The 26,618-nt window shown below is 46.5% G+C and overlaps 1 protein-coding gene across 6 annotated transcripts in view, besides 1 other annotated feature; it reads left to right on the top strand.

Moving 5' to 3' along the window:
* The window catches only part of SEZ6L (seizure related 6 homolog like), a 214,135-nt gene that overhangs the window by 134,763 nt on the left and 52,754 nt on the right, over window positions 1-26,618 (top strand). For all 6 annotated transcript variants that reach the window (NM_021115.5, NM_001184773.2, NM_001184774.2 and 3 more), the window contains exons 6-9: window positions 1,755-1,920; window positions 6,446-6,612; window positions 7,544-7,738; window positions 9,540-9,678. In NM_021115.5, coding sequence (NP_066938.2) covers window positions 1,755-1,920; window positions 6,446-6,612; window positions 7,544-7,738; window positions 9,540-9,678 — 667 coding nt within the window. The remainder of the gene's footprint in view (window positions 1-1,754; window positions 1,921-6,445; window positions 6,613-7,543; window positions 7,739-9,539; window positions 9,679-26,618) is intronic.
* Window positions 16,702-17,668: an enhancer, noted in NCBI's record as "H3K27ac-H3K4me1 hESC enhancer chr22:26716892-26717858 (GRCh37/hg19 assembly coordinates)". NCBI's record gives its function as "activates a minimal SCP1, AML or CMV promoter by ChIP-STARR-seq in naive H9 embryonic stem cells {active_cell/tissue: H9 hESC(naive)}" and the evidence as "EXISTENCE:reporter gene assay evidence [ECO:0000049][PMID:30033119]".

The raw sequence follows: 26,618 nt of genomic DNA on the forward strand, positions 1-26,618 counted from the left end.
ACCTGTAATCCCAGCTACTCAGGAGGCTGAGGCAGGAGAATCACTTGAACCTGGGAGGCAGAGGTTGCAGTGAGCTGAGATCGTGCCATTGCACTCTAGCCTGGGTGACAGAGCAAGAGTTTGTCTCAAAAAAAAAAAAAGAAAGAAGAAAGAAAGAAAGAAAGAAAGAAAGAAAGAAAGAAAGAAAGAAAGAAAGAAAGAAAGAAAAAGAAAGGAAAGAAAATTCAAAACTGTTCTCTCATATAGTACGTGAGAAAACAATTTCCTAAGAACCAAATATCTCCTAAGAATTAGAGTAAAAATAAGAATACCTTCTCGCTTGAGAACTGGAAAGTGTTCTTTCCAGTGCACAAATCACTTTTTAATATTTTTCATTAGATTTTTATGATAAAAGTAATAGATGATTCTGGTAAGAAATTTTTCAAGAAATAGTGAAGTGTAAGAAATAGGAACAAATCACTTTTATATTCATGGTCTCAATTGATTCTTGAAAATAGCTTATTAAAATAGGTATGGCACACTATTTTCTAACTTGCTTTTTTTTTCACTTAAAAAATAGTGAGCATCTTCCTATATGCTGAAGTATTCTTTGAGAACATGGTATTTAGTTTCTGAATGGGTGGAGTGTATTTACAGTTATGCATCACTTAACAATGGGGATATGTTCTAGGAAATGCATCTTTAGATGATGTCATCATTGCGTGAACATCATAGAGTGTATGTACACGAGCCTTGATGGTATAGCCTACTACATACCCAGGCTATATGGTACAGCCTATTGCTTCTCCGCTACAAACCTGTACAGCATGTTACTGTGCTGAACACATTGTAACACAAAGGTATTTGTTTATCTAAACATAGAAAAGATACAATAAAAATATAATATTAAAATCTTATGGGACCACTGCCATATATACACTCTGTTGTAAATTGAAACACTGTTATGTGGCACATGATGTATTTCACTAAACATCTGTGAGTGGACATTCATCTTGGTGTTTTTTTTATTTTTCATTCCTAGAAACAAGATAGCCATGAATATCCTCATTCCTAACTCTTGGTGCAAATCTCTAAATCTTTTCTTATTATAATTATCCAGAACCGCATTTGGCGGATCAAAGTGTTTGAGCACGTTTTCTAGGCTTTTCACTAAATTGCCCTCCCGAAAGGTCATAACAGTTTGCATTCTAACCAGTCATGATGAAAGTGAGCATTTCCCATCACCCTTACCATCTCCAGATTTTATTGCTGCTTTTTATCTTGGCCGATTAGGTGGATGAAAGTAGAATACAGCTTAGATTTGCATTTCATTTGTTATTAGTGAGGCTGAATTTTTAGTGCTTACTGAGTACTAGAAATATATTTCTTCTTTTGTGAACTGCCTGTTTATATCCTTCTTGATTGCCATTTTGTAATTAAAAGTCAGGGCACAGCCAGCACCACAGAACTGTCGTTAAATTGCAGTCATTCCCTACCATGAAATACACATGTTGATGGTTCCAATTGTAGGGTGAAATCTCCTGTCAAACAGGATTCCCTCCCAGGAGAAGTCCCTTCCAAGCTTTCTCTCCCTGCCCGGTTTCCTCCCGCTCCAGGTCTCTGATGTTTCATCCTGGGCAAGGGGCAGGGGTGGGGATCAGGGGAGAATGAAACACTCACTTCCTTCTCTCTCTCTCTCTCTTTCTCTCTGTCTCTCTCCTCTCTCTCTCCCTCTCTGCTCTCTCCCATTGCCCACCCACCCCTTTCTGGATCAGCTCCTTGTGGAGGGGCAGTGCACAATGCCACCATCGGCCGCGTCCTCTCCCCAAGTTACCCTGAAAACACAAATGGGAGCCAATTCTGCATCTGGACGATTGAAGCTCCAGAGGGCCAGAAGCTGCACCTGCACTTTGAGAGGCTGTTGCTGCATGACAAGGACAGGTAAAGCTCTGAAGGTCCACACCCAACCCCGTTTCTTCCCAGAATATTAGAACATGGCTTGAGGACTTGGAGTCTTGAAATGGCTGAAGCTTTGACCCTCGGAATTCAAGAAAAGAAGAGCTGGGGTGGATGGCAAAGATCTTAGACACCATCAGCTTCAATCTCTTCCTTTTACAGATAAGGAAACCAGGGTATGCAGAAGGAAATGGACCTGCCCCAGCTCAATCAGCAGGCTAGGGGAAGAGGCAAAAAGGGAACTGCCCTATTCTTTCTCTTGCACACCCCTTTTTGCAGTTGAACAAAAAGAGAGTATGTATTGATCATCTGCTCAGTACCCAGCCATATATTAGGCTCCATGGAGAACATGAAAGAAGTAGAAAATATTAGTTTCTGACATGATAGGAAATTGAGATGGAAAAACTAGACGTATGCACATGAAAGAATGAAGGAGAAGTTACCAGGCAATATCTAAGCAAGAGTGTGTCTGTAGACTCTTAATAATATGCATAGAATCCAGAATATGCATAGAATCCAGAATTATAAAACTTTAATATTCTGCAGTATTATTCTAGAATATTTGGGGATCTTATTCTAGAAATTATGGAATCTTATTCTAGAATGTTCTGAAATATTCTGGTATCTTATTCTGGGATATTCTGGCGTCTTATTCTAGAATATTATGGGGTCTTGTTCTAGAATATTCTGGATTATTCTGAGATCTTATTCTAAGATAGTCTAGAAAACTAGGACTTTAGCTGCTTTGACTTGCTGTCTTGAGTTGGGTTTCCTTGGAATCAGACATGGTGATAAAGATGTGAGAGGAAGTAGTTCACTGGGGAGCTGATCCTAGTAAGCACTAGGAGGCACATGGGAAAGTGAGATTGTGAATACCAGCTGCGTTAATAAGCGGGTGACTGCTGGGAAAACCGGGATTCTGTCCACTGGAAACCTCTGGGCAATGTGTTGAGCATACCTCAGAGTGGTCCTGTTGGAAGGGTGAGGGAGCTAGGGTACTTATGCACCAGCTCCCATTCATCACTGGATGAGAGATGTGATGAGGAGCACTAACTATCCCCAACATCAGCTGCCACCCTTTGAGCTGGTTGAGTTGACTGATTCTCAGAGACTTGTGGTCAGAAGCCAGCAGAAAATGTGGGAGCAGTTGACTGCTGAGGGGTAGGAGAGGGTAGGGCACTGGCAGTGTTTACTGCACTTCCAGAATGCCCCCACCTTAGAATTTTGGAGTCCAAGAAACTTTGATCTAAGAATTCTAATGTTTTGGCTTCTTTGATGGATCAAACCTAGACTATGAGGTCTTTAGTTTGGAAAGACTTAAAAAAAAAAAAAAGACAACTGAATAATTTTCCCATACCTCTTGAGTCCACTTCCCTCTAGGCAGTTCAGCTTTATCCAGAACAACTCTATATCGATAAATTGCTGCTGTAAAGTGTAAGGTATCAAGCAGGGGCTCCCGAACGTGGCTTTTTAGCAGCACCAGAATAATAACCTGGGGAATTCTTTAAAAATCAGATTCCCTATCCTTTCTTCTGGAGACTCTGAAAATCTGGGCATGGGAACCCTTGGTGAAGGACCATTTCCAAATCTTAAACCTCAGATCTGCCTCTTCTGAGGGGTGCTTGAGATGAGCCAGGCTTAAGTTTATACTAGACAACAAGAATTAGCAGAGACAAAAGAATGCATCAAAATGAGTATTTTCTTATTTTCTGCAAGTTGTTTAAGTCCTGACAAATGGGCCCCCCACTGGCACTGGTCACTAGTAGTTTCTCTGGGGTCCTGCAAAGATCTGCATGAGCTGACACTTACCAGGAAAAAACCAGCTTTCAAGTGTATCAGTAGGAAGAGAAGTTTGTAGAGTTCATCAAGGTTAAAGGTCAACACACACACAAAAATGATGAAGACACTACTCTCTGGGCCAAGAAGAAAAGAGAAATCAATTATGTCTGTCCCATGTACTTTATTGAGGGGGAAATGGCTAAAATACCACAATATGTCAGTTGCAAGAACTCAGAGCTAGATAAGACTCTACATAAGAAATGGGACTTTGACCTAAAGTCAAAATGGAAGGAGATTGGATAATGGATCCAAAAATACAGAGGGAGGGGTATTCCAAGCATGGAGAATTGGAGGATGAGCACAAAGATGGAGGGGAAAGAATTAGCAAATTTGTTGGGGGGCTGCAGCAGAAGCTCTCATGAGAACAGGAGGAAAGAGATCTGGGAAGCTAGATTGGGGTTATATCCTGAAGGATTTTGAATGCCAGGCTACTTTTATAGGCAATAGAGAGCCTATAAAAGTCTTTTTAGTCGAGGAGGGACATGAATAAAGATTTTAAGATGATTTTCCTCAAAATGAACCCTTTCTAAACTCCAGTCTCATAATATGCCCCCAAAAAAGTGAGTTCTCTGGTCAAACATGTTTGGGAGACACTGCGCCCACCCTATCCTTGCCTTGAAAGGTCGTAATATGTACTAGCTAACAAAGGCACTGATAAGTCCTGCAGGGAAAAAAAAGTTTAATTTTTATTTAATTCAGCATTTTGCAAATCCATTTGACCATAGACTATTAAGAATTTGAGAGAAAATGTATTACTATTGCAGACATTCTAGAAAATATGGTTAGAAAATTGTTGGTTTTAAAAGATTAATAGACTACAGAGATTTTGAGATCTTGAAGCTTTCCTCCAGAGCAACCCTCTTTGCCAAAGGCTTCTGTTCTTTGAAAGAGGTGTCCCAACACACAGCCCCTAAGATATAACAGAGTCATCAGGAATCAGAAGACTATGTAGATGCCCCTTCCCACTCCTGGAATGCCCCCTGGACTCTACCACAGCCCCCATCCTTGCCTCAGCCATACTGGACACATGGCAAAATAAACAAACTGTGGCTGCAACATTTATACATCTTAGTGACATTAGAAATTCATCTGGGCAGCATAAAATAAACTATTTTTATGAGTCAGTAAAAACCTCAAAGGCTTAAAAATGTGTGTTTATGACTCCATAAAAGAAGCTTATCTAATTTGTATATGGTTTTCTTCACCATTTTTGCATAATTTCTTTAAAAAACCAAGGCTAGCAAGAAGTCAACTTCAAATAGCTTTAATAACAATAAAAATAAATACCCAACATTTTGTTTAACACATTTTATTTTTCAGGGCACTTTTTATTTTGCAATATTCTCAAAGCCCACCTGTAAGATGGGTCAGAACGACGTTATGGTTGGGTCTCTCCTTTCACAGTTGAGGACACTGAGGCTGAAAGGTGTTTTAAGACTTAATGTAAATCCAGATGGGGAATTGAGAAATGGGAATTATGACTCTTGACTTCCCACACAGTGCTCTTAGAAAATGGGGATCAGAGACAGAGCCTGGTGGGAGTCAAATGCTTAATAAACAAAACTTACCTACCGTGTCCTGTTAACTATTTTTTTTTTAAGACCGAGTCTTGCTCTGTCACCCAAGCTGGAGTGCAGTGGCTCGATCTCGGCTCACTGCAATCTCTGGCTTCCAGGTTCAAGCAATTCTCCTGCCTCAGCCTCCAGAGTAGCAGGGACTATAGGCACGCGCCACCATATCTGTCTGATTTTTGTATTTTTAGTAGAGACGGGGTTTCACCATGTTGGCCAGGCTACTATCTAACTCCTGACCTCAGGTGATCCACCCACCTTGGCCTCCCAAACTGCTGAGATTATAGACTTGAGCCACCATGCCCCACACTCTGATATAGGTGCAATTGTACCCATTTTACAGATGAGAAAACAGAGGCTCAGAGAAGTGAAGTGTTCTTGTGCAAAGTCACACAGCTGAGAAGTGACAGAGTCAGGACTCACACCCAGGTCTGCCTGACTTTACAAAAGCCACCATTTAGGCAATGAGATTAGTCCATTATTTCCAACTTCTCAGTTAATAATAATAGTCAACATCAATTCATTAGTTCGTCGTTTGGTTTATTACATCATATACATTACTCTCCCTACAACCTCAGAATAAATCCATAAGGAAGCCAGGACAGGCATTTAGTCCCATTGTACAGAAGAGGAAACAGGTTCGATAAGGTGATGCTTGTCTGAGCACATAAGAGGTAAAGTCAGGACTGGGCGTGGTGGCTCACGCCTGTAATCCCAGCACTTTGGGAGGCCAAGGCGGGTGGATCACCTGAGGTCAGGAGTTCGAGACCAGCCTGGCCAACATGGTGAAACCCCATCTCTACTAAAAGTACAAAAATGTGCTGGGCATGGTGGGACACACCTGTAATCTCAGCTACTCGGGAGGCTGAGGCAGGAGAATCACTTGAACCTGGGAGGCGGAGGTTGCAGTGAGCCAAGATCGCACCATTGAACTCCAGGCTGGGCAACAAGAGTGAAACTCTGTCAAAAAAAAAGAGGCAGAGTTAGGTTTGGGATCCGGTAATGAGGCTCCAGAGGCAGTCGTAGCACATCCCTTCCTCTGCCATGTCAGTGACCCAGGAAGATCTGTCAGTGTCCCTCCTCTCTGCTCCCACTGCCAGGATGACGGTTCACAGCGGGCAGACCAACAAGTCAGCTCTTCTCTACGACTCCCTTCAAACCGAGAGTGTCCCTTTTGAGGGCCTGCTGAGCGAAGGCAACACCATCCGCATCGAGTTCACGTCCGACCAGGCCCGGGCGGCCTCCACCTTCAACATCCGATTTGAAGGTGAGGGTCCCTGGGAGCTTCCCTTTCTCTTGTGGGGCTGGGGGTAGCCTGGGAGCAGGGAAAGCATGGGGAGATAGAAATCTGGGCTGCGAAGGATGTGGGAAATCCCATGGCCATGTGGATCCTTTGGTTTCCAAAGACAGGCTCTTGGTTTCATTAATAATAACAATGCCTATCATTAACTGTGCACTTACTACGTGCTCAGTGCCTTCTGTGCACTGTCTGATTGGATTTCAGCTTCTGCATCATGTTTGATCCTCATCACACTGAAACATTAGAACTGTTATTCTATCTGATTTTTGGTGAGGAAACTGAGGTTTAAGACACTTGGGTGACCGGCCCAAGACCACCAGTGAACAAGGGTGGAGTTAAGATTTCTGTCCATCCTGTGCTGGGGAGCCCTGAAGCTCTGCTCCACTCCACCTAGTAGACCTCTTAGAATTTAGCCACTTCTTCCTCCAAGAAGAATTTAGCAAGAGCCTCTCCTGCTGAGACCCTGACTCTTGAAGAAGGGGTTCGCTGGGCATTTCATGTACGCTGGGGGACTTTCTGTTCTGGCTTTGCCAAGAAAAGCTGGCTTTTATCATAGACAGCCCTACAGTTTCCAGTGGCAAAAAGTCAGGGCTCTGAAGTTACGGGCCATGGGAAGGATCCATATAGGATGTGGAAAGGCATTAAAACACAACAACTCCACAGGGTGGAGAAGACAGAGATTCTTACTCCTATTTTAGATTTTTTTAAATGAGGTCCCAAGGAGTCAACTGGGTGGCCCCAGGGTTCTCAACACGTCAGCTGGAACCAGGACACGTAATTTGGTACCTGTTTTCTTTGGGGCTTTTCTAAACAGCACAGGGGACCCATCTTCTGAAATATAGCACCGTGGGGTAGTCCCTGCATCATCTGAACTGCTGCCTCTCTTTCCCTTCCTCAGCGTTTGAGAAAGGCCACTGCTATGAGCCCTACATCCAGAATGGGAACTTCACTACATCCGACCCGACCTATAACATTGGGACTATAGTGGAGTTCACCTGCGACCCCGGCCACTCCCTGGAGCAGGGCCCGGCCATCATCGAATGCATCAATGTGCGGGACCCATACTGGAATGACACAGAGCCCCTGTGCAGAGGTGAGCGGATCCACAACGCTCTTCCCACGGCACCCCAGGGATCTCCACCCTTTGGATGAGAAGACCAAGGCCCCAGCTTAGAGGCCTGTCCCCAGTTTTCATACCAACTTTAGGATTAGAACCCTTTCCAGGGTTCACTGTCCTTTGGTTCAGGGTTGCTGCTGGTCTTGAGAAAATTACAAAATGGGTGAATTTTAGAAGGTGCACCTTCTTCCAGGCATAGGTCCCACAGTGCACAGCTTAGTGAGCTGAATACTGCATGGATTTCAGCTCCTAAATACTCCCTCTGCTACGCATGCTTGTGCAGTGCACAACCCACGCAATAACCTCATTAATAAGAACAATAATAGTTCTTAATTGGTGTGTAATAATTATGCTACCAGCACTTTGCTAAGAGTGTGTGTGCATTATCTGATTTCAACCTCACCATAGCCTTATAAAGTAGATTGTATCGGCCCCATTTGTAGGTGAGAAACTAATGCTGTGAAGTGACCTGCCTAAGAACACACAAGGGGAATTGGCAGGGACAGGAATGGAACTCATGTCTCTTTGTTCTCAGAGCACTGTGCTCTGAGCCCCACTGGACAGTGTTGTAGAACCCTCATCTACACAGGCTGCAGTGGACTGTCCTGCCAGTTTCCCCATATTCTTTTTGTTGTTGAGACAGAGACTCGCTCGGCTCACTGCAGCCTCCGCTTCCCGGGTTCAAGCGATTCTCCTGTCTCAGCCTCCTGAGTAGCTGGGACTACAGGCGTGTGCCACCACAGCCGGCTAATTTTGTATTTTTAGTAGAAACGGGGTTTCACCATATCAGCCAGGCTGGTCTCGAACTCCTGACCTCAAGTGATCCACCCACCTTGGCCTCCCAAAGTGCTGGCATTACAGGCATGAGCCATCGCACCTGGCCCGTTTCCCCATATTCAAGGCTGCTGAGCCACCCTGAGCCTGGGTCTCCTGCTGGCATGTGGAGTAATGAAAGGTGCCCTCACTCCTGGCAGCCACCGCCTCAATGGCAGTTGGTGTGAAATCACAGCCTTGCCATGGTGAGGGATTGATCCCTATATTAAATGTGCCGATTTAACAGAGCGGAATTTATTGGTGCTTTGGCCTCTGCCATGTTGAGACCTTTCCAAAGTGGTAAACACAGAGTAGAATTTAAAGGGCACCTGCCGCAGCCACATCTCTGCTTCCAGTTCAGGGCCGGGACCTGTCATAGCAACATTATCTAAATTATCGAGCAGCTACCATGTGCCAGACACTGTGCAGCATGTTTGACATTCATGAGCTTAAGCCTCAAAATAACCCAATGAGGTTGGCAGTGGTATTGCCCCCATTTTGTAGAGAAAGGGAGCTGAGGCTCTGGGAAATTACATACCTCCTCCTACAGCCTGTTAGCAGCAGAGGCAAGATTGGGACCCCGGGACCACCTAACTTGAGTGGGCGGTCTCTTAGCCACTACTCACCCCGCAAAAGAGCAGAGGCTGTTGAGGAGTCATTCTGACCACTGAGCTCTGTCCTTGGTCTTGAAAGAGCAATAGCACCTCTTAGCCCAACTTTTACCAACCCTCAGGTGCAAGGTAGGCAGCTGGCCAGCTCTCATTTAATCATTACACACACACACACACACACACACACACACACGCACACACACACACGTGCTGGCTGCCCGAGGTGAAGACACCTGTCCACAGTACACAGAGATTCACGGCTGTCTGACTTCATAGCCCACATGGTTAGCCGCTATGCCACATTGACTTCTTTACAAATAAAGTCCGTCTTCTTGCCTGTCTGTCTTTTACAGCCATGTGTGGTGGGGAGCTCTCTGCTGTGGCTGGGGTGGTATTGTCCCCAAACTGGCCCGAGCCCTACGTGGAAGGTGAAGATTGTATCTGGAAGATCCACGTGGGAGAAGAGAAACGGATCTTCTTAGATATCCAGTTGTGAGTGTTTAAAATGGGTGGCCCTCTAATTTGGCAAAATTTGGGAGATTGAGAAAGAAATTGCTCCTGCTTTATTCTTTCAACCAATATTAACTAAGCATCTACTATGTGCCGGGACTATGCAGAGAACAGGCATTCCCATAGTGAGACCAAGAACAGCATCACAAATACACACACACACACACACACACACAGAGAGAGAGAGAGAGGAGAGAGAGAGAGAGTCCCTATCTTTGGGAAATTCAGCCTAGGAAACAAATATGAAATGAGGACATACACAAATAATTGCATACTCTAACTTCAATATGTGATGTAAGGAGAGGTTAATGGTGCTATGAGATTCTTTAACTGGAATTTGATATAAAAAGGAAGGTCAGAGAAGTCTTCCCCGAGGATCTGATACTAAAGCTCAGAACTAAAAGATGAGTTGGAGTGATGCATCCCAAATGAACAGAATGTGCAAAGGCCCTGTGGCAAGCATCTCATTTTCAAAGGACCAAATGGCCAGTGTGGCCAGCAAGAAGGGGGCACTGTAACACCCATTTACTGGACTACAGTTGTTTATTTTCCTGTTTGTCTCCCTCAACTAGACCAGAAGGTCCTCTCCTCTGGGGCTGGGTCTGACTACCCTCTGTTTCCACAGTCTAACGCAGAGTCTGATACACAGTAGATGCTCAGGAAATGATTGCTGAATGAAAAAAAATGTTTTTAATGAACGGACTTACTTAGCTGTGCGGCTGGGTTTCCTGTATTCACAGGGGGTAACCATTAGATTCTCCATCCAGAATGTTCCCCGCTAGCTCCCCAAGAGGGTGACACTTGCAGGGAAGCAGCTACTCTGGGCCAGATGCAAAAGTGACTGCTCTAAGCATTTCTATCTTAGGTAATTCTCACAGAGAACCCCCCCTGGGAGGTCATTAACCCCACTGTCTGAGAAGGCAGCAGAGGTGCAGGGAGGCCACCCAGAAAGCCAGCGAGCAGCGGGGCTGAAATTCAGGCTTCTGTGGCTTCTCAGTCATGCTCTTTCCACTGCCCCATGTGAGATGGGGGTGAGAAGTGGACAAAGACAGACGGTGGTGCCTGGAGAAAGCAGAATACAGGGTTCCTGACAGACCCAGGTGGCAGACGGGAGGGTGGTTGGGGGCGGAGAGAGTGCTGAAACCCAGCAGCCTGGGGAAGCAGCACTCACAGTTCTCTGGCTCTACAGAGGAACCTTGCAAGAGAAAGAGAAATTATTTTCAAATTATTAGTGACCGGCTTTTGAGGCTGTTCCTTAGACACAGCAAGTGTCCTTAGTCTGGGTGCGGTGGCTCATGCCTACAACCCCAACACTTCGGGAGGTTGAGGCAGGAGGATTGCTTGAGACCAGGAGTTTGAGACCAGTCCCAACAACATAGAGGCATCCTGTCTCTTCAAAAAAATAAAAATTAGCTGGATGTGGTGGCACACGCCTGTGGTACCAGCTACTTGGGAGGCTGAGATGGGAGGATCTCTTGAGCCTGGGAAATTGAGGCTGCAGTGAGCCATGATCATGCCACTGCACTCCAGCCTGGGTGACAGAGTAAGACCTTGTCTCAAAAAAAAAAGAAGTGTCCCCAGAGGCTGTCCCAGAACCTCCTTCTCCAGTGGAGTCAGAGACTTACACAGCTTGAATAGCTGCCCCTTGTGGACTTGGGGCCAGGCCAATCTAAGAAAGAATTCCACCTCCTTCCCATGTGACTTTGGGCTGGGCTCACCTGTTCTCGCCTCTCTCTGGACCTCAATTTTTCTCTCCTGTAATGGGGGTCTTGGAACATCAGTGCTTTGTGGCTGCTGGAGGCAGATTTTACGCGTTCCTAGCCCATTGCCTCACTCCTCAATAAAGCTCATCCTCATCTGGGCACGGTAGCTCACACCTGTAATCTCAACACTTTGGGAGGCTGAGGTAGGAGAATCACTTGGGGCCAGGAGTTCGAGACCAGCCTAGGCAACATAGTGAGACCCCATCTTTACAAACAATTAAAAAAACTAGCCAGGCATGGTGGCACCTGTAGTCCCAGCTACTTGGGAGGCTCAGGTGGGACAATTACTTGAGCCCTGGAGTTCCAGGCTGCAGTGAGCCATGATTGCACCACTACTTCAGCCTGGGCAACAGAGTAAGACTCTGTCTCAAAAAAAAATAAAAATTCAAATTGAATTAAATAGACCTCATCCTCTTCCCCCCATTCCTTTCTCTCTGACTTCTAGAGTCTGGAATAAGATGCTTATTCATTCATTCCAACCGAACTGTTTGAGTGTCTACTATCAACCAAGCACAATTTTATGTGCTGGAAAGGTTCTAATGGTTGTTCCTTCAGTGGTAAAATTCATATTGGAAAGAATGGAATGGATTGTCTCTCTTAACTCTAGGGAAAAAATTATTGTGTACCTACCGTGTGCCAGCAGTAGGCTTAGCACTGAAGATACAGTTGTGAGAAAAACAGGGCAGTCCTCACCCTGCATGCCTAGCAGGTGAGGCAGGTAAGAAAGTAAATGCAGTGTGAAAGGAGCAGTGACAGGCAGGTGAGGGCACCTGAGTGAAATCAGGAGGGCTTCCAGGAGGAAGTAGCTTCTATAATAGCATGAAAGAGAAGGTAGGCAGGTGACGAGGGGAAAAGAAGAATGTCCTGGCCAGGCATGGTGGCTCAGGCTTGTAATCCCAGCACTTTGGGAGGCTGAGGTGGGTGGATCATTTGAGGTCAGGAGTTCAAGACCAGCCCAGCCAACATGGTGAAACACCGCCTCTACTAAAAATACAAAAATTAGCCAGGCGTGGTGGTGGGTGCCTGTAATCTCAGCTATTTGGGAGGCTGAGGCAAGAGAATCACCTGAACCCGGGAGGTGGAGATTGCAGTAAGCCAAGATCATGCCTCTACACTTAAGCCTGGGTGACAGAGTGAGACTCTGAAAAAAGAAAGAAAGAAAAGAAAGAGAGAGAGAGAAAGAAGAAGGAAAGAAAGAAAGAAAGAAAGAGAAAGAAAGAAGAAAGAAAGAAAGAAAGAAAAAGAAAGAAAGAAAAGAAAGAAAGGAAGAAAGAAGGAGGGAGGGAGGGAGGACAGGACAGGAAAGGAAGAAGAATGTCCTACCTACATGATGAGAACATCTGCAAAACATCTACAAAGCCTGGAAATGAAAGAGTGTGACCCACTTAATGACATAAAGTTTAATGTGGCTGGAGCAAAGCATGGCAGGTGGGTAGAGACTACAGAGGGAATGGATCAAAGGGAAGCTCTGGGGTCTTCTTAGCTGAAGCTTCACATAGAAAACTTTATTCTAAGGCTGCATCCTTTAGGAAGCCTTCTGTGTCGCCCCCTTGTCCTTGTCCATAAAAATAAATTTATGGTTCCAGCTTATGAATTCCTTCCCCCAGAAGTTACCAGGAAAACTACCTGTCTTCAGCCAAGAGAAGGTACGACCTACTCCTGAGTTCTTGGCTTCTCTGGCAGAAGATCCCACCCAGCCCCAGGCCCCATGAAGTCATCTATAATCCCCTCTCTTCTGCTTGGCTTGCCTCTTCTGGCCTCACAGGGAGCCTCCCAGATGGGTGGTTTTGCTTAAATAAGACGGGCCCACATCTCCCTTTGGTGCCAGAGGTCTAGAGGAGGAAACAAGAAAATGGGAATCTTTACTTTCATCATCTCTAGGCATCAAATATTCAATTAACCTTCAGCCTGACACCAGATTGGGTTTTATTTCTACCACTAAGCATGCATGCAATGGAGCAGCCGATCCGGGAACCTCATGCAATTAAAGCTTCCCCAAAGCCAAGCCACTGGCATTAGCATCAGGAAGGGAGCCCTTGCAGCGGGGGCAGGCTTTCTCTCTTCTGAACATTTTCACAATCGTAGATTGAGCATTGACCAGGAGAGAGGGCCCTCAGTTTCCTTCCTCCCTGCCCTGATACTCCATGCCCTCAGCAGCCCTGGACCCAGCACCTAGCATCTCTGGGCCTCAGATTCCTCCTCTGCAAGATGATGGGCTACCTTGAATCAAGGGTAGTTGCAAATCCAAAATCATGAAGGGCCAGGCAACACAAATACCGGAATTAGAGCTGTTGTGAGATTATATGGAGGGGAGGGGTCTGCGATGAATTAGGAAGTACATACCCTATCTAAAATCATTTAAATTCAATTTCCATTTTATTTTATTTTATTTTATTTTATTTTATTTTTTGTGATAGAGTCTCACTGTCACCCAGGCTGGAGTGCAGTGGTGCCATCTCAGCTCACTGCAACCTCCGATTCCTGGGTTCAAGCGATTCTCCTGCCTCAGCCTCATGAGTAGTTGGGATTGCAGGCGTGTGCCACCACACCCAGCTAATTTTTGTATTTTTAATAGAGATGGGGTTTCACCATGTTGGCCAGGCTAGTCTCAAACTCTTGACCTCAAGTGATCTGCCTGCCTCAGCCTCCCAAAGTGGTGGGATTACAGGTGTGAGCCACTGCCCCGGGCCATAATTTCAATTTTTAAAAATAGCATCCCCTCCTCCAAAAAAAAAAAAGTGCCTACTGGCTGAATCCAAACTGAGGACCACCAGTTTGCAACCCTTGCAAATGATTAAGGTGATTGAGGGTTTAAGCTCCCTTCTCATTGCAGCAATGAAGAAATTCATGTTTTTAAGCACTTACTATTTGTAAGGTCTTTACTAACATTAATTTTTACTTCATATAAGTTAAAAATAAATTGTATTATTTGTTCTTTGGATTAATCCCATGAAGTAGTTGCAACTATTACATTTAATTATATCCTCTTGCTTCCTCACCACTTCACTTGGATGTCTAAGAGGCATCTCAAATGAAATGTATTCAAAGACAAACTCCTGATTCTCCCTCCCTATATCTACTTATAGGGAGATATTTATTTATCTATTTATCTATTATACTTATTTTACCCCCATCTTTCTCATATGTGTAAGGTATGATCTATTCCATCAGTTGCTTGGGGGAAAGAATCAAACAACGACAAAACAGAAACCTTGGCGTTATTCTGGCCCAGTGGAGTGCTGGCTTTCTTAACAAGTTGGCGGCACAGTGGGCCACACCCTGATTTGTAGCATCTGTCAATTTCCACGGTGTAAATACTCCCACCATGACCCATTTTAATATACCAACATAATGACAACAGGCTCTCCAAATGCCTGGACCATTAGCTCTTACAAGCCCGTATGAGCCTGCCCCCAGCCCAGCACACTCACTGTGAACTGGACCTTTCTCTTTCTCCCACACCCTGTAGCCAAATCCTCAGGAAATTCCATTGCTTCTACTCAAAAGTCAAAGTCTTCCCAGAGTCCAAGCAGTTCTGACACCTCCACTGCCACCTGCAGGGTCCACGCCACCACTGCGTCTTCCCAGGGTTATTGCAACGGCCTTTGAGATATCCTTGTTCCCACTTCTGCCCCCTCTTTTTAACCAACACTCAGTGATCCTGTTACAACCGAAGTCATAGCACCCATGCTCTGCTCAAAGTTCTGCAATAGCTCCCTGTTTTATTTGGACTTAAAGCCAGTATTCTTACAAAAGGCCCTATGGGATCTAGCTCTGGTTACATCTCCAGCATCGCTTTATTCCTCTCTTCTCCTTTCTGTATGGTACATTTGACCATATTAGCCTTCTTGCCATTCCACACGCATACCTCAGGGCCTTTGCACTGCTGTCTCCCCTGCCATTGGGATGCTCTGCCCCAAATATCTGCAGAGCTTGCTCCCCATCTCTCCATCCTCTGACTTTGCTTCACTTCCATAGCCCTTGCCACCACCTAACACACTACGCATTGTGGTGTATCTTGAAGTATTTCAACTCCCACACCTCCACCTGGAATGTCACCTCCAGGAGAAGAGCAGGAGTTTATTTTTTGTCTTATTCACTGCCGTAACCCTAATATATAGACCAGTGCATGGCCCATAGTAGGTGCTTAATAAATAAAAGGCAAGGAAGTAAATGTAGCTTGTCAGGATCATACAGACATGAGGCTTCAAAGCGAGAATTTGAACCCAAATTTATGTTCAGCTGGCTATGATGCACGTGGAGGGAAAAAAGAGGGTCAGAAAAATATGGAAAGACCTTCTGGGGACATGGCCTCCATTTTTTAGTAAGTACAGGTTTATTACATGACAGGGAACCTGGTTGATAAGAAATAACATTTGGCTAAAAATTATCAGGTAAAGTATTAAATAATAGAAGTAGGAGGTCTCCCCAAGAGAATATTTTATAGGGTTATAGTTTCAAAGGATGTGTCATCATGGACCTTAGAATCAGAATATCTAGCGGGAGGGGGACTTCAAGGTCCCCCAATCCAGTGATGCTGAGATATGCTGGCAGAGTTCAGGGCCAAGTGCCGTGGGGCTTGGGGAGCCTGTATCATTCTCCCGGGTGTTCTGAGCACTGGACACTAAGCCAAGCAGAAAGTGATGACGGAACCACAGACAGGCTCAGAATGGGGCCAATAAGGGGGGGCATCGCCCTCCCCAAGGCAGCTGTCACGACTTGCGTTAGGACAAGCAGCCAGTGTCATCCCGGGGCCTTAGGATTTGCAGTGACATCAAAATCAATTCAGTCCCAGTTTTAATCATCATGGACATGTGAGGACTGTCATTTTTGTCACTGAGCAAGTTTAAATCGATTCCACATATATTTATTGAGCATCCACTATGTAGCAGGCATTGAGGCTGGGCCCTGGCAGTGAGCAAGACAGATGCAGCCCCGCCCCCGGGGAGCCATGTTGTAGGCTGATACAGCACCAGCAAGAGGAAATACAGCACTCTGGGGGCCCAGAGCGAGGGAAGGTGAGCCTGGCTGAGAATGTGAGGGAGAAGCTTTCCTGAGAACAGTAAAGTCTAAGTCAGTTTTTCTCAACCAGGGTCTATCTTGCCCCAGGGGACACTTGCCAATGTTTGGAGGCATTTCTAGTTGGGACAATGGGAGGGTGCGGGGGAGAGCACCCCCAGCATCTAGTGGGGACAGGCCAGGGATGCTGCTATGCATCCTACAATGCACAGGACAGTCCCCACCACAAAGAATGAGCTGACCCAAAATATCAACGGTGTTGAAGCAGAGAAACCCTGATCTATGCTAAGACCTGAAAGACAGAGAGAAGATGGGCAGAGATGGAGGGGAACAGTGTTCCAGCCAAAAGGAACAGCATGTGCTAAGGTCCAGAGGCAGGAAAGCACAGCTCCCTTCTTAATTGTCCATGATATTTAATATTTGCTGAGCACTTAGGACATCCCAAGCAGTTACATCCTAGACATCTTCACGACAAGCACATGCCTTGGGTTCTGTTATTATCTCCATTTTCCAGATGAGTAAACTGAGGCTCGGGGTGGTGGGAGAGTGCCTGTGATCGCACAGCTAGAAGCTGGCGGAGCTTGGACTTTAACCCCACTTGCCATGTCTCCAGGACCCTGTGTGTCTGGAGTTCAAGGGTGCGTCCATGAAGTAGGACAGCCTGGCGGTGAATGCGACTCAGCAGCGCCTTGAAGGCCACATTAGGGAGTCTGGGCTTCCCCAAATTGGGCAGCAGGAAAAGGGTTTAAGCACTTAAAGAGATTAAAGCTTTGCAGAAGGGAGCTGAGTCCTCTGGTCACCAGCCCGAGGCTCACGCCGACAAGCTTGGCACACACTTGGCAGAGTGGCATCTGGACTTGGCACCTCCTCCCTCCCACAGAGGGAGTGAAAATAGCATCTCAACAGCCAGGGTTACGTGAGGCCCAAGAGCTGCTGGGTTTAATTTATCTTGCTTGGTTTTCCACTGACAGTTTTAGTAAACCAATTTGGGTTTGATAGTAAAAATAATTCCATCCTCCGGGCCCCTCAGCCCTCCTAAGTGTTTGCAATTGTTATTTTTCACATCGACGATGGGGAGGGAGTGTGCACTGCAGACCGAGCTGGGTAGGTGGCCCATAGTAGGCGCATGACTTAGCTGTCTGCTGAGTCATGAATGAGGACGTAAGCCACATTTCCCAGGCGAGAGGGGATCTCTCTCCCTCTTCGTCTACTGGGCAGTCTGTTGATACCGTGGCCATGGCGGTTCTAATTAGTTACCATTTATTAAAAACCTACTATGTGCTAGGCAGGCCCTGAGCTGCATCGTTTAGGTCCGTGAGCAATAATAAATGTGAACATTATTATGCAGAGATAATAATTACATAAATGAGAGCTAATGTGGGTAGAGATAATTACAGAAGGGTAATTACCCAAATTAGAGATAATGTATGCCAAGCACATTGCATGGTATCTGGCACATAGTTGGTGCTTCATAAATGGAGACTACTATTATCAGGAATCCTCAGATAAGGCAGATATTATCATTACCACTTTATGGGTTGGGTATGACAGCACAGAGAGGTTACGTGGTTTCCTCAGGTCACACAGCTAGTAAAGACGGAGCACACACCGTAGCCTCCACTTCCACTGACTTGAACAGCTTTCGGGGCACCAGCTGTGTGTCTCGGCAATGTAGCAGCGACACGGGAAGGCTCCCAGGCCTGTAGGGACTCAAAGTTCAGGAAGGGACACATAGCCATAAACAGACAGCCTGGCAAAATGTAAGCAAAGTCCTGTGGCTTGGAGGGTGAGTTGAGGAGGTAGAGGGGAACTAGATTTATCTCCGTGAATTATGGAAATATCCCTGAGAAGGTGACATCCAGAAGGAATCTTGAAGAGTGCCAGTTGCCCGGAGTTAATGGGAGAAAAGTGTCGTGAGCAAAGGATTCAAGCAGTGATGACAGTGACCATTAGGCATGAAATGAATGCTCTGAATCACAGCATCAATTACAACCATCTGCCCCACATTGTTGGTGTTGGAGGAAAGAAGGAGGTTGCACCAACTTGGGATGAGTCAGGAGCCCTCAGGCTAAACCTTCTTCACACCCCAAATGCCTCCCTAACCCACCACGTATCCCTCCCAGCTCCATCAGAAATCTGCCTCTTCCTCTAAAAACACAACTGAACAGAAACTTTTAAACCCTAAGGGCCTTTTCATATTGCTCTCCTCTCACTCTCTCTCATTCATTCTCTCTCCACACCCCTTCCCCAACTCTCAAAATAAATTACGGAAAGGAGAATAAGGGAACTAACATTGGTGAAGGCATCGTAGAATAGAAGATCCGAGAGGGGCCCCAAGTGGGCAGGTAACTTAGCAAGTATCACACAGCAAGAGAGGACCAGAAAGACAACTTGCTTGTGGCCACAAGAGCTCAGCACGGGGGCCACAACCTTGAAGATGCCTTGCAGCCAAGGAGACATAAAAGCGCCTAGAGTCAAAAAGAGGTGCATGTAAGTGCATCCTGATGTTCACCAGCTCTGTGGCCTCAGGCAGATTATTGAAGGTGCTGGTGCCTGCACCCACAATGGGATATTTTGTTCACTTTATCCCCAGTGTCTGGCACAAAGAAAGTGCTTGATAAATATCTGTTGAATGAAAGAGACGGTAAGGCTGGGCACAGTGGCTCATGCGTGTAATCCCAGCACTTTTGGAAGCCAAGATGGGAGGATCGCTTGAGCCCAGGAGTTCAAGACCAGCCTGGGCAACAAAGCAAGACCCCGTCTCTACAAATAATTTAAAAATTAGCCAGGCATGGTGGCTTGCAGCTGTGGTCCCAGCTACTTGAGAGGCTGAGGTGGGAGAATCACCTGAGCTCAGGTGTTGAGACCAGCTTGGGCAACATAGTGAGACCCTGTTTCTAAAAAGAGAGAGACAGAGAAGGTGGGTGTGTAAATTAATTAAATAATGTAAAAATTAAAATAACAGATAACATAAGGTTTCTGACACAAGATAGGCAGATAACCATAGCTAACACTACTTTTACCCCTACTATATCCCAGACTTTATGCTAAATACTGGCACACATTATCTCATTGATGATGATGATGATGATGATGATAAAGACCAACAGCTGACATTCATTGAGTACTTACAATGTGCCAGTCTTTACATGCTTTTTTTACCTATAGTAACTCATTTCACTCTCCAATGCAATATCAGTACCCTATGCAATATCTACATCACGTCAGTGTGACTACTCCTTTGTACAGATGAAGAAACTGAGGCTGAGAGAGATGAAACTGCTTGCCCAAGGTCACACAATTAGGATGTGGCCAAGTCAGGACTTGAACCCAGGTCTCTAAGACCAAAGCCAGTTTTTAACCACACACACACACACACACACACACACACACACACACAAACACACACACACACACAAACGGTAGGGAAGTGCTCCACATGAGAGAAATTCCGAGCTCCATCTTACAGAAGAAGAAACTGAGGCTCAAAGTGTTTCCTGCTCCCCGTTTCCTGGACATCTACTGCGAACATACATCCATCTCTGCAGGGAAAAAGTCTCAATCAGGCTCCAGCGTGCCTTCCTTTGCTCCTCTGCAGAGTTCCCAACATTGCTCCCTGTTTATGAGCCCCAGCACAGTTCTCTAACCAGGAAATAAAAGGGCCTAATAACAAACCCAGGTAACCATATGATTGATAGCTGCAGAACAGTCCTCTTCAGCTGCTGCCAACCTGTTCTGTGCTAAGTTAATTCCAAGCCCTAAAAATTAAGTGCCTTGTCCAGAGGCACTTCAGTTCTTCAAACAGAGATATAGCTGCTTTGGACTGTAAGAATTCTACCTGAGAGCCAGGAAAGGAGGAGAGAGATTCAGGAGTTGAGGACAACGTTAGCCCTGGGAGAATAGATTTCCAGATATCAGCAAAAATCACAGGAGAAATGGCCACGACAAAAATAAAACTGGCTGAACTCAGATCTTCTGGCCCATTAGCAAGAGGAGACAGGATTTCCCTGGAGCCAAAAGTTCGAAGGAATTAGAGAAGGAGCAGAAAATTTCATAGAGCCCAAATTCCATTATGTTGCAAATGAGGAAACTGAGGCCCAGAGATGGGAAGAGATTGCCCCAAGACCACTCTATCAGTCAGCTATTGCTGTATAACAAACCACCCCAAATTCACTGGCATAAAACAGCAGGCATGTATTTCTGTTCACGAGTCTAGAGATCAGCGTTGTGCTTCTGGTCTTAGCTGGGCTCGCAGGTGGGTCTATGGGCAGCCACTGGCCTTCTTCATGTATTTGGGGATGGGTTGGCTGTCGTGGTCTAGGTGGGCATAGACTGGGATTGACATAGACACGCATCTCTGCTCCATGTGCCTCTCATCCTCCAATTGCTAGCTTGGGCTTGTTCCCATGGTGATTGGCCAGAGTTTCAAGAAAGGAAGAAGATGCATTCAAGGCCTCTTGAGCCCACACTAGGAAGTGGCACAGCCGCACGTCTGCCATATCCTATGGCAAGCTACAAAGCAAGGGCCAACCCAGAGGTATGGTGTGGATACAGAGAGGGGCCAAGCTTTGGGATCATTTTTGCCCTCAAGCTACCATGACCATAGAAGAGTGGAGATTAGAACTCAGGTCTCCTGGTCCCAGCCCAAAGCTCCAAATGATATTACTGTGTACAATGATCCTATGAGATCTGAGCATCATTATCCCCATTTTACAGACGAGGAAACCGAGGCTCAGAGAGCTGAAGGAACTTGTGTAAAATCTCACAGCTAGGAAGAATAAGAGACAAGATTTGCACCTAGGGCTTGGTGCCTGGCATATAGAAGACTCAGAAAATGTTTCTTTCCCTACATGATGCTTTCAGCATGTGGGAGACACTCTGGAAAGATCTTGAATTCCTTCAGGGACAGGAAAAAGCCTTCACCTACAGTAAGAAGTCTTGGGTTCTAGTCTCAATTCTTTCACTGAGTGGCTGTGTGACCTTGGATAAAGTCACCCCACTTCTCTGGACCTCGGTTTCTTTCATCTTTCAAATGAAAATAACAATGGTACCCATCTCTTCGAGTTCTGAGATGATGAAATCATACCATGTGCAGAAGCACTTGGCAAGGGCTTAGTACATTACACACACTCAACAATTTAATTGGCAGCTGTGATGACGATTAATCCCTTCCATGGCCCATGGTCCTGTGTACAAACTGAGCTCCTTTGCACGATCACACACACCACACACACACACACACACACACACACATTGATCCCTCTGAGCTTGCAGTTTGAGTGTTACAGTAGGAATGAAGAGAATCCATACACAGGTCCTACCCAGGTATCCCACCTGACTGATTAGCTTCCTCTCCCCCACGATTTGCAGGGGATTGTGGTGGTAACTTGGAAACACAAGCACCAGGGTTAGGTCCTCCACCAACACATGCCCATGTTCTGCTCCTTGGCCACGCCACGCTCTTCTCGCCTTGGTGACTGCAAGAGCCTACTTGGGAGGGGACCTGCTGTCTGTCTGAGCTGGACATTGCCTTGTCGGTGCACCCCTACAAGCTCAAGGCATTCGAATGCAATTAGACCTGACATCTTAGGGAGACACGACTGCTTGTTTTACGAGTCCCTGACATGCGCTGTCCTCCTGAACTTACTATTCGACAAGTGTTTATTGAGCGCATACCATGTGGCTAGAGTTGCATCCAATTATCAGAGGTCTGGAGATGACAATCATCACTCACATGGATTACTGTGGTGCCAAAATACTCACGTGCCCTTACCTTTGTGCCAAGCTCTGTTCTGAGCACGTTACCTCTTAGTTAATTCTCAAAGCAACCTAGGAGAGTCACACGATTTGTTCTCCATGTAATAGATGAGGACAGTGATCCTCCTCCGAGGGGTGAAATGGCTTGCCACTTAGACCCAGGAGTGCCAGCCTCACACCCCTCATCACCCCTCAACCCTGCTTCACAGAGTAGAATCGACTTCATCCTGAAGGCAGCCAGCCTCCCTTGAGAGCTGAGCAGGCAAGCAGTGTAGTCAGACCTGCTGTTTAGACAGCACCCCTGGGAGGAAGGCAGAGGTGGGCCGAGGTGGCAGGAAGCCAGGCAGGAGGCAGAGGGGCAGCAGCATTGGCTTGGCATGGTCCTGTGATGGCCGAGGCCTGGGGAAGCCCCTGCAAACCCCTCTGGGGCCTTCCGGGGAGAAGCTGGGACAAGCCCTCCAGGTTTCAAAGTTCGTTTTTCTTGGAGGAGTTCCCACGCCAGGCGGGGACGGCCCCTGTGTGGAGTTTCCTGGGGGTGTTCTGGCCGCTCGGATTGGCCACGCCAGGGCTTTCGCCAGGGGAGGCCTTCGAGAATATGTGCACGATGCGGACGCAGAATGGCAGGAAGCGGCGACCCCAGCCACTGCCAGCTTCTGCTGGGAGAAGCTCTGTCAACTCTTCCTCCAGCAATGCAGAGCCCCGGCCCACCGCCCTCTGCACACGTGCGTGTCTGTGTGTGTGTGGCAGTATATACCACACACCACACACACACCACACACGCTATACACACCACACACCCTCACACACACCACACACACACACCACCCCACACATACCACACACACATGACACTACACACACCACACACACCCCCACACACACACCACACACATGCCACACATGCCACACCACATGACACTACACACACCATACACACACCACATACACACCACACACACACACGCACAAACCACACATATGACACTACACACACCACACACCATACACACACACCCCTCACACACACCACATGACACTACACACACCACACACGCCACACACCCCACGACACTACACACACACACCACACACCATACACACACCCCACACACACACCACATGACACGACACATGCCACACATGCCACACACACCACATGACACTAAACACACACCACACGCACCACATGACACACCACGCCCACACCACATGACACTACACACACCACACACACCCACACACACCACACGCACATGCGCCACACACTACACAAACACACATACTGCCACATACACATCCGACCTCACCAGCTGATCAAGCTTCCCTCAAGGTGAGCTCTCGCACCCTGACTTAGATGTCCCGGAATGTAGAAGGCCCTGGGTTCCACTCCGTGTTTTATAAACCTGGGGAAGCTTACATCCAGAAAAAGGAAGCAATGTGGGCAGTGCCACAGAGGAAATTCATGGAAGGGCCACAGATGCCATCTGGGGTCACCCCTAAGTCTGGAAAACTCAGGCCTCAGCAGCCTATTTCTAAAGCCTTGTATTCCCCAGATCAACCCCTTCCTTGCTATTGAGTGGGGAAATGGGGAAAGTGTGTGGGTCCAACCTTCTCCACAGAGGGAAGCATGCAGTGGCTTGGTCATGGCCATTGTTAATGGACTTTTTTACAATTTGTGGATTCTGCGATTTGCATCTGGGGAAACTGAGACCCGGGTTGGGAAGCCTCTTGTCCAGTCACAGGTCAGAAAGGTGGCAGCATAAGTGCCCTTTACTGAGGTCTCGTCACACCAGGATTTGTTGCCACGCCGCCCTTGCCCCTCAGCAGGGTGCCTAGTTCCTTATAAATAGTTTTTGTAATAGAGGAAAAATGCTCTTGTAGTGGAATTCCTGGCATTAATTGTTATTTACAGCTGTCAACAATATTATCCCCATTTTACAGGTGGGAACACTGAGGCTCAGAGAGGCTAATCTGCTTCAAGGTCCTGCAGCTAGAATTTGAACCTGTTCTCTTAATGCTGCCTCTTGTGCTGGAGGTGAAACACCAGGGTAGTTAAGGACAGCCGTCTTTGTAGGCAAAGCAGCCGGGGAGCTGTTGGGTTTTCCTGGTCATGGTGCTAGGTGTAAAACGTTATCGGTGACCTTGCCAGAGCCTCGCCCACTGCCTTCGGAAATGGCTCAGTCCAGAGATGTGGAAATGAGAAACTGCTTGAGCTGCCCGTGGGGCAGGCCCAGGGGGACGGCAGGCCGAGAGCAGGAATCTCTTTCCTACTCTTTTTCTCTTTGGGAATAAGAGGGAAATTGAGAAAAGGGAGAAAGGAGGAGGAGATGGAGAAAAGGAAGAAAAGAAGAAAGGCCATGGAAACTGGGAGCCTCTCTGAAGTCAGGGCTGGGTCTCATTCAGGCTGCAAACTCCAGGTCTGTGGCTCTCAGTCCTGGCTGCCCAGGAGAACCCCCTGGGAATGGGAGTTTTAAGTGACACTAATTCCCAGTCTCCACCCCCAGGGTTTCTGATGGCCTGATTTGTCTGGAGTACAACCTGGGATCAGGAGTTTTTAAACCTCCGCGGGGATTCTGAGGTGCGGCCAGGATTGAGAACCACGGGGCAGTGGGTTCACAGCCTGGAGTGGACAAGCGTTTTGGTGAATATTTTTGGAGAGAAACAGAGAGGAAGAGAGGGTGGAAGGAAAGGAAGAGAGAAGGAACAAAGAAGAGACTAAGGAAACAGGCTGGGCACGGTGGCTCAAACCTGTAATCCCAGCACTCTGGGAGGCCAAGGCAGGTGGATCATCTGAGGTCAAGAGTTCAAGACCAACCTGGTCAACATGGTGAAACCCGGTCTCTACTAAAACTGCAAAAATTAGCTGGGCTTGGTGGTGGGTGCCTGTAGTTCCAGCTACTCTGGAGGCTAAGGCAGGAGAATAGCTTGAACCCAGGAGGCGGAGGTTGCAGTGAGCCAAGATCATGCCATTGCACTCCAGCCTGGATGACAGAGTGAAACACCATCTTTAAAAAAAAAGAAAAAGAAAACTCATCATTTTTGTGTGTTTTAAGGTGTCCTATTAGGGAGCCAAAGATACTGGTTTTCTGTGTCCTCCCTGGAGCTGACATGGTTTCTTGGCCTGTCTGCCATTTTATCAAATTAAATTGAAAGCAAATTTAATTGGGTTTCACTGGGCCAAAGGCCCCTCGACAATTCTGTGTTGCTGAGAGGTGCCTGGCAAGGTTGTGCTGCATCTGAAATGAGCACAGAGGCCTTAGGACCTGGGTCTTTGGGGCTCAGTTTACTCCTCTATGGGATTCATAATGTTTTTTCTCTGACCACCTGACTGTGTGGGTGAGGGGATCAGATGAGAAAATAGATACAAAACAACTTTAAACATGTCCCTTCTAAGGCCTTCAAAAAAAACTATAAATATTTTATCAAAGTTTTATTGCATACAACGGAATTTACAGGTTTTGATTCTTGTTTTTCCTTTCTTTAGATCCTATGATTTATTTCATCACTATCTCTACTGTTCCATAAAGATCTTGCCTGAAGGGCAAGATAGTGTTTTCTTAGGAAAGTCACTTAATTCCTCTGAGCCTCAGTTTCCTCATCTGGAAAATGGACATAAATTTGCCGTCATTCCTTCATTTAAGTGAACTTTATTTCACCTGTGCCAAGCCCTGGGTGGGCTCCAGGGATTGGGGTGAAGACATGTGCCTTCAGGGAGCCGACACAGGCAGATGAAGGTTGCTGGTCTGTTGCTCAGGCTTTGTCTTCCAACGACGTCTGTTTGGATTCCGGCTCTGCTATATAACCAGCTGCTTGAGCTTAAGCGTGTTTCCTCACCTCTGGGCACCTCAGTTGGCTTATCTGTGAAATGGGTGTGAAGAGTCGTACTTACAGGGTTAGTCCGAGGATAAGATGAAATGGTGCATGTAAAGTGCCTTGAAAAGCCACTTGAAAACCTTAGCTAGTTATTACATAGCTGTAAATGCAGGGTGGACAGAGGGATCCTGAGGAATTAGCAAGGTGTTTTCTAGCAGAGAAGAGAGGAGAGGGCTTTCCAGGTAGAGAGACTAGCATGAGCTAAGGCATGAAAGATGGAGGCTTTAAGGGTCTAGGAGCTGCAAGGGGCTTGGTGTACTGGATGTTTGAGACAGCAAGAGATGGGCTGAGACCCAGCTGTGGACTTCCTGGGAGGTCAGGCTGAGAAACTGGACTTTAGTCTGTGGGCTAATTTTTGCGGTTTCCACAGTCCAATTCTATTACCAGCTACTTCTTTTTGTGTTACCGTTTTTGTTTTCCCGAAACTGCGTGTAAATTGGCTTGCCTTTTTCACTTGGCTTACTCCAGCCAAAATAATGTCCATGAAATTAGAAGTTTAATGTGCAAACC

Source organism: Homo sapiens, chromosome 22, assembly GCF_000001405.40.
Source record: "Homo sapiens chromosome 22, GRCh38.p14 Primary Assembly".
In the NCBI taxonomy this organism is placed as follows: domain Eukaryota; kingdom Metazoa; phylum Chordata; class Mammalia; order Primates; family Hominidae; genus Homo; species Homo sapiens.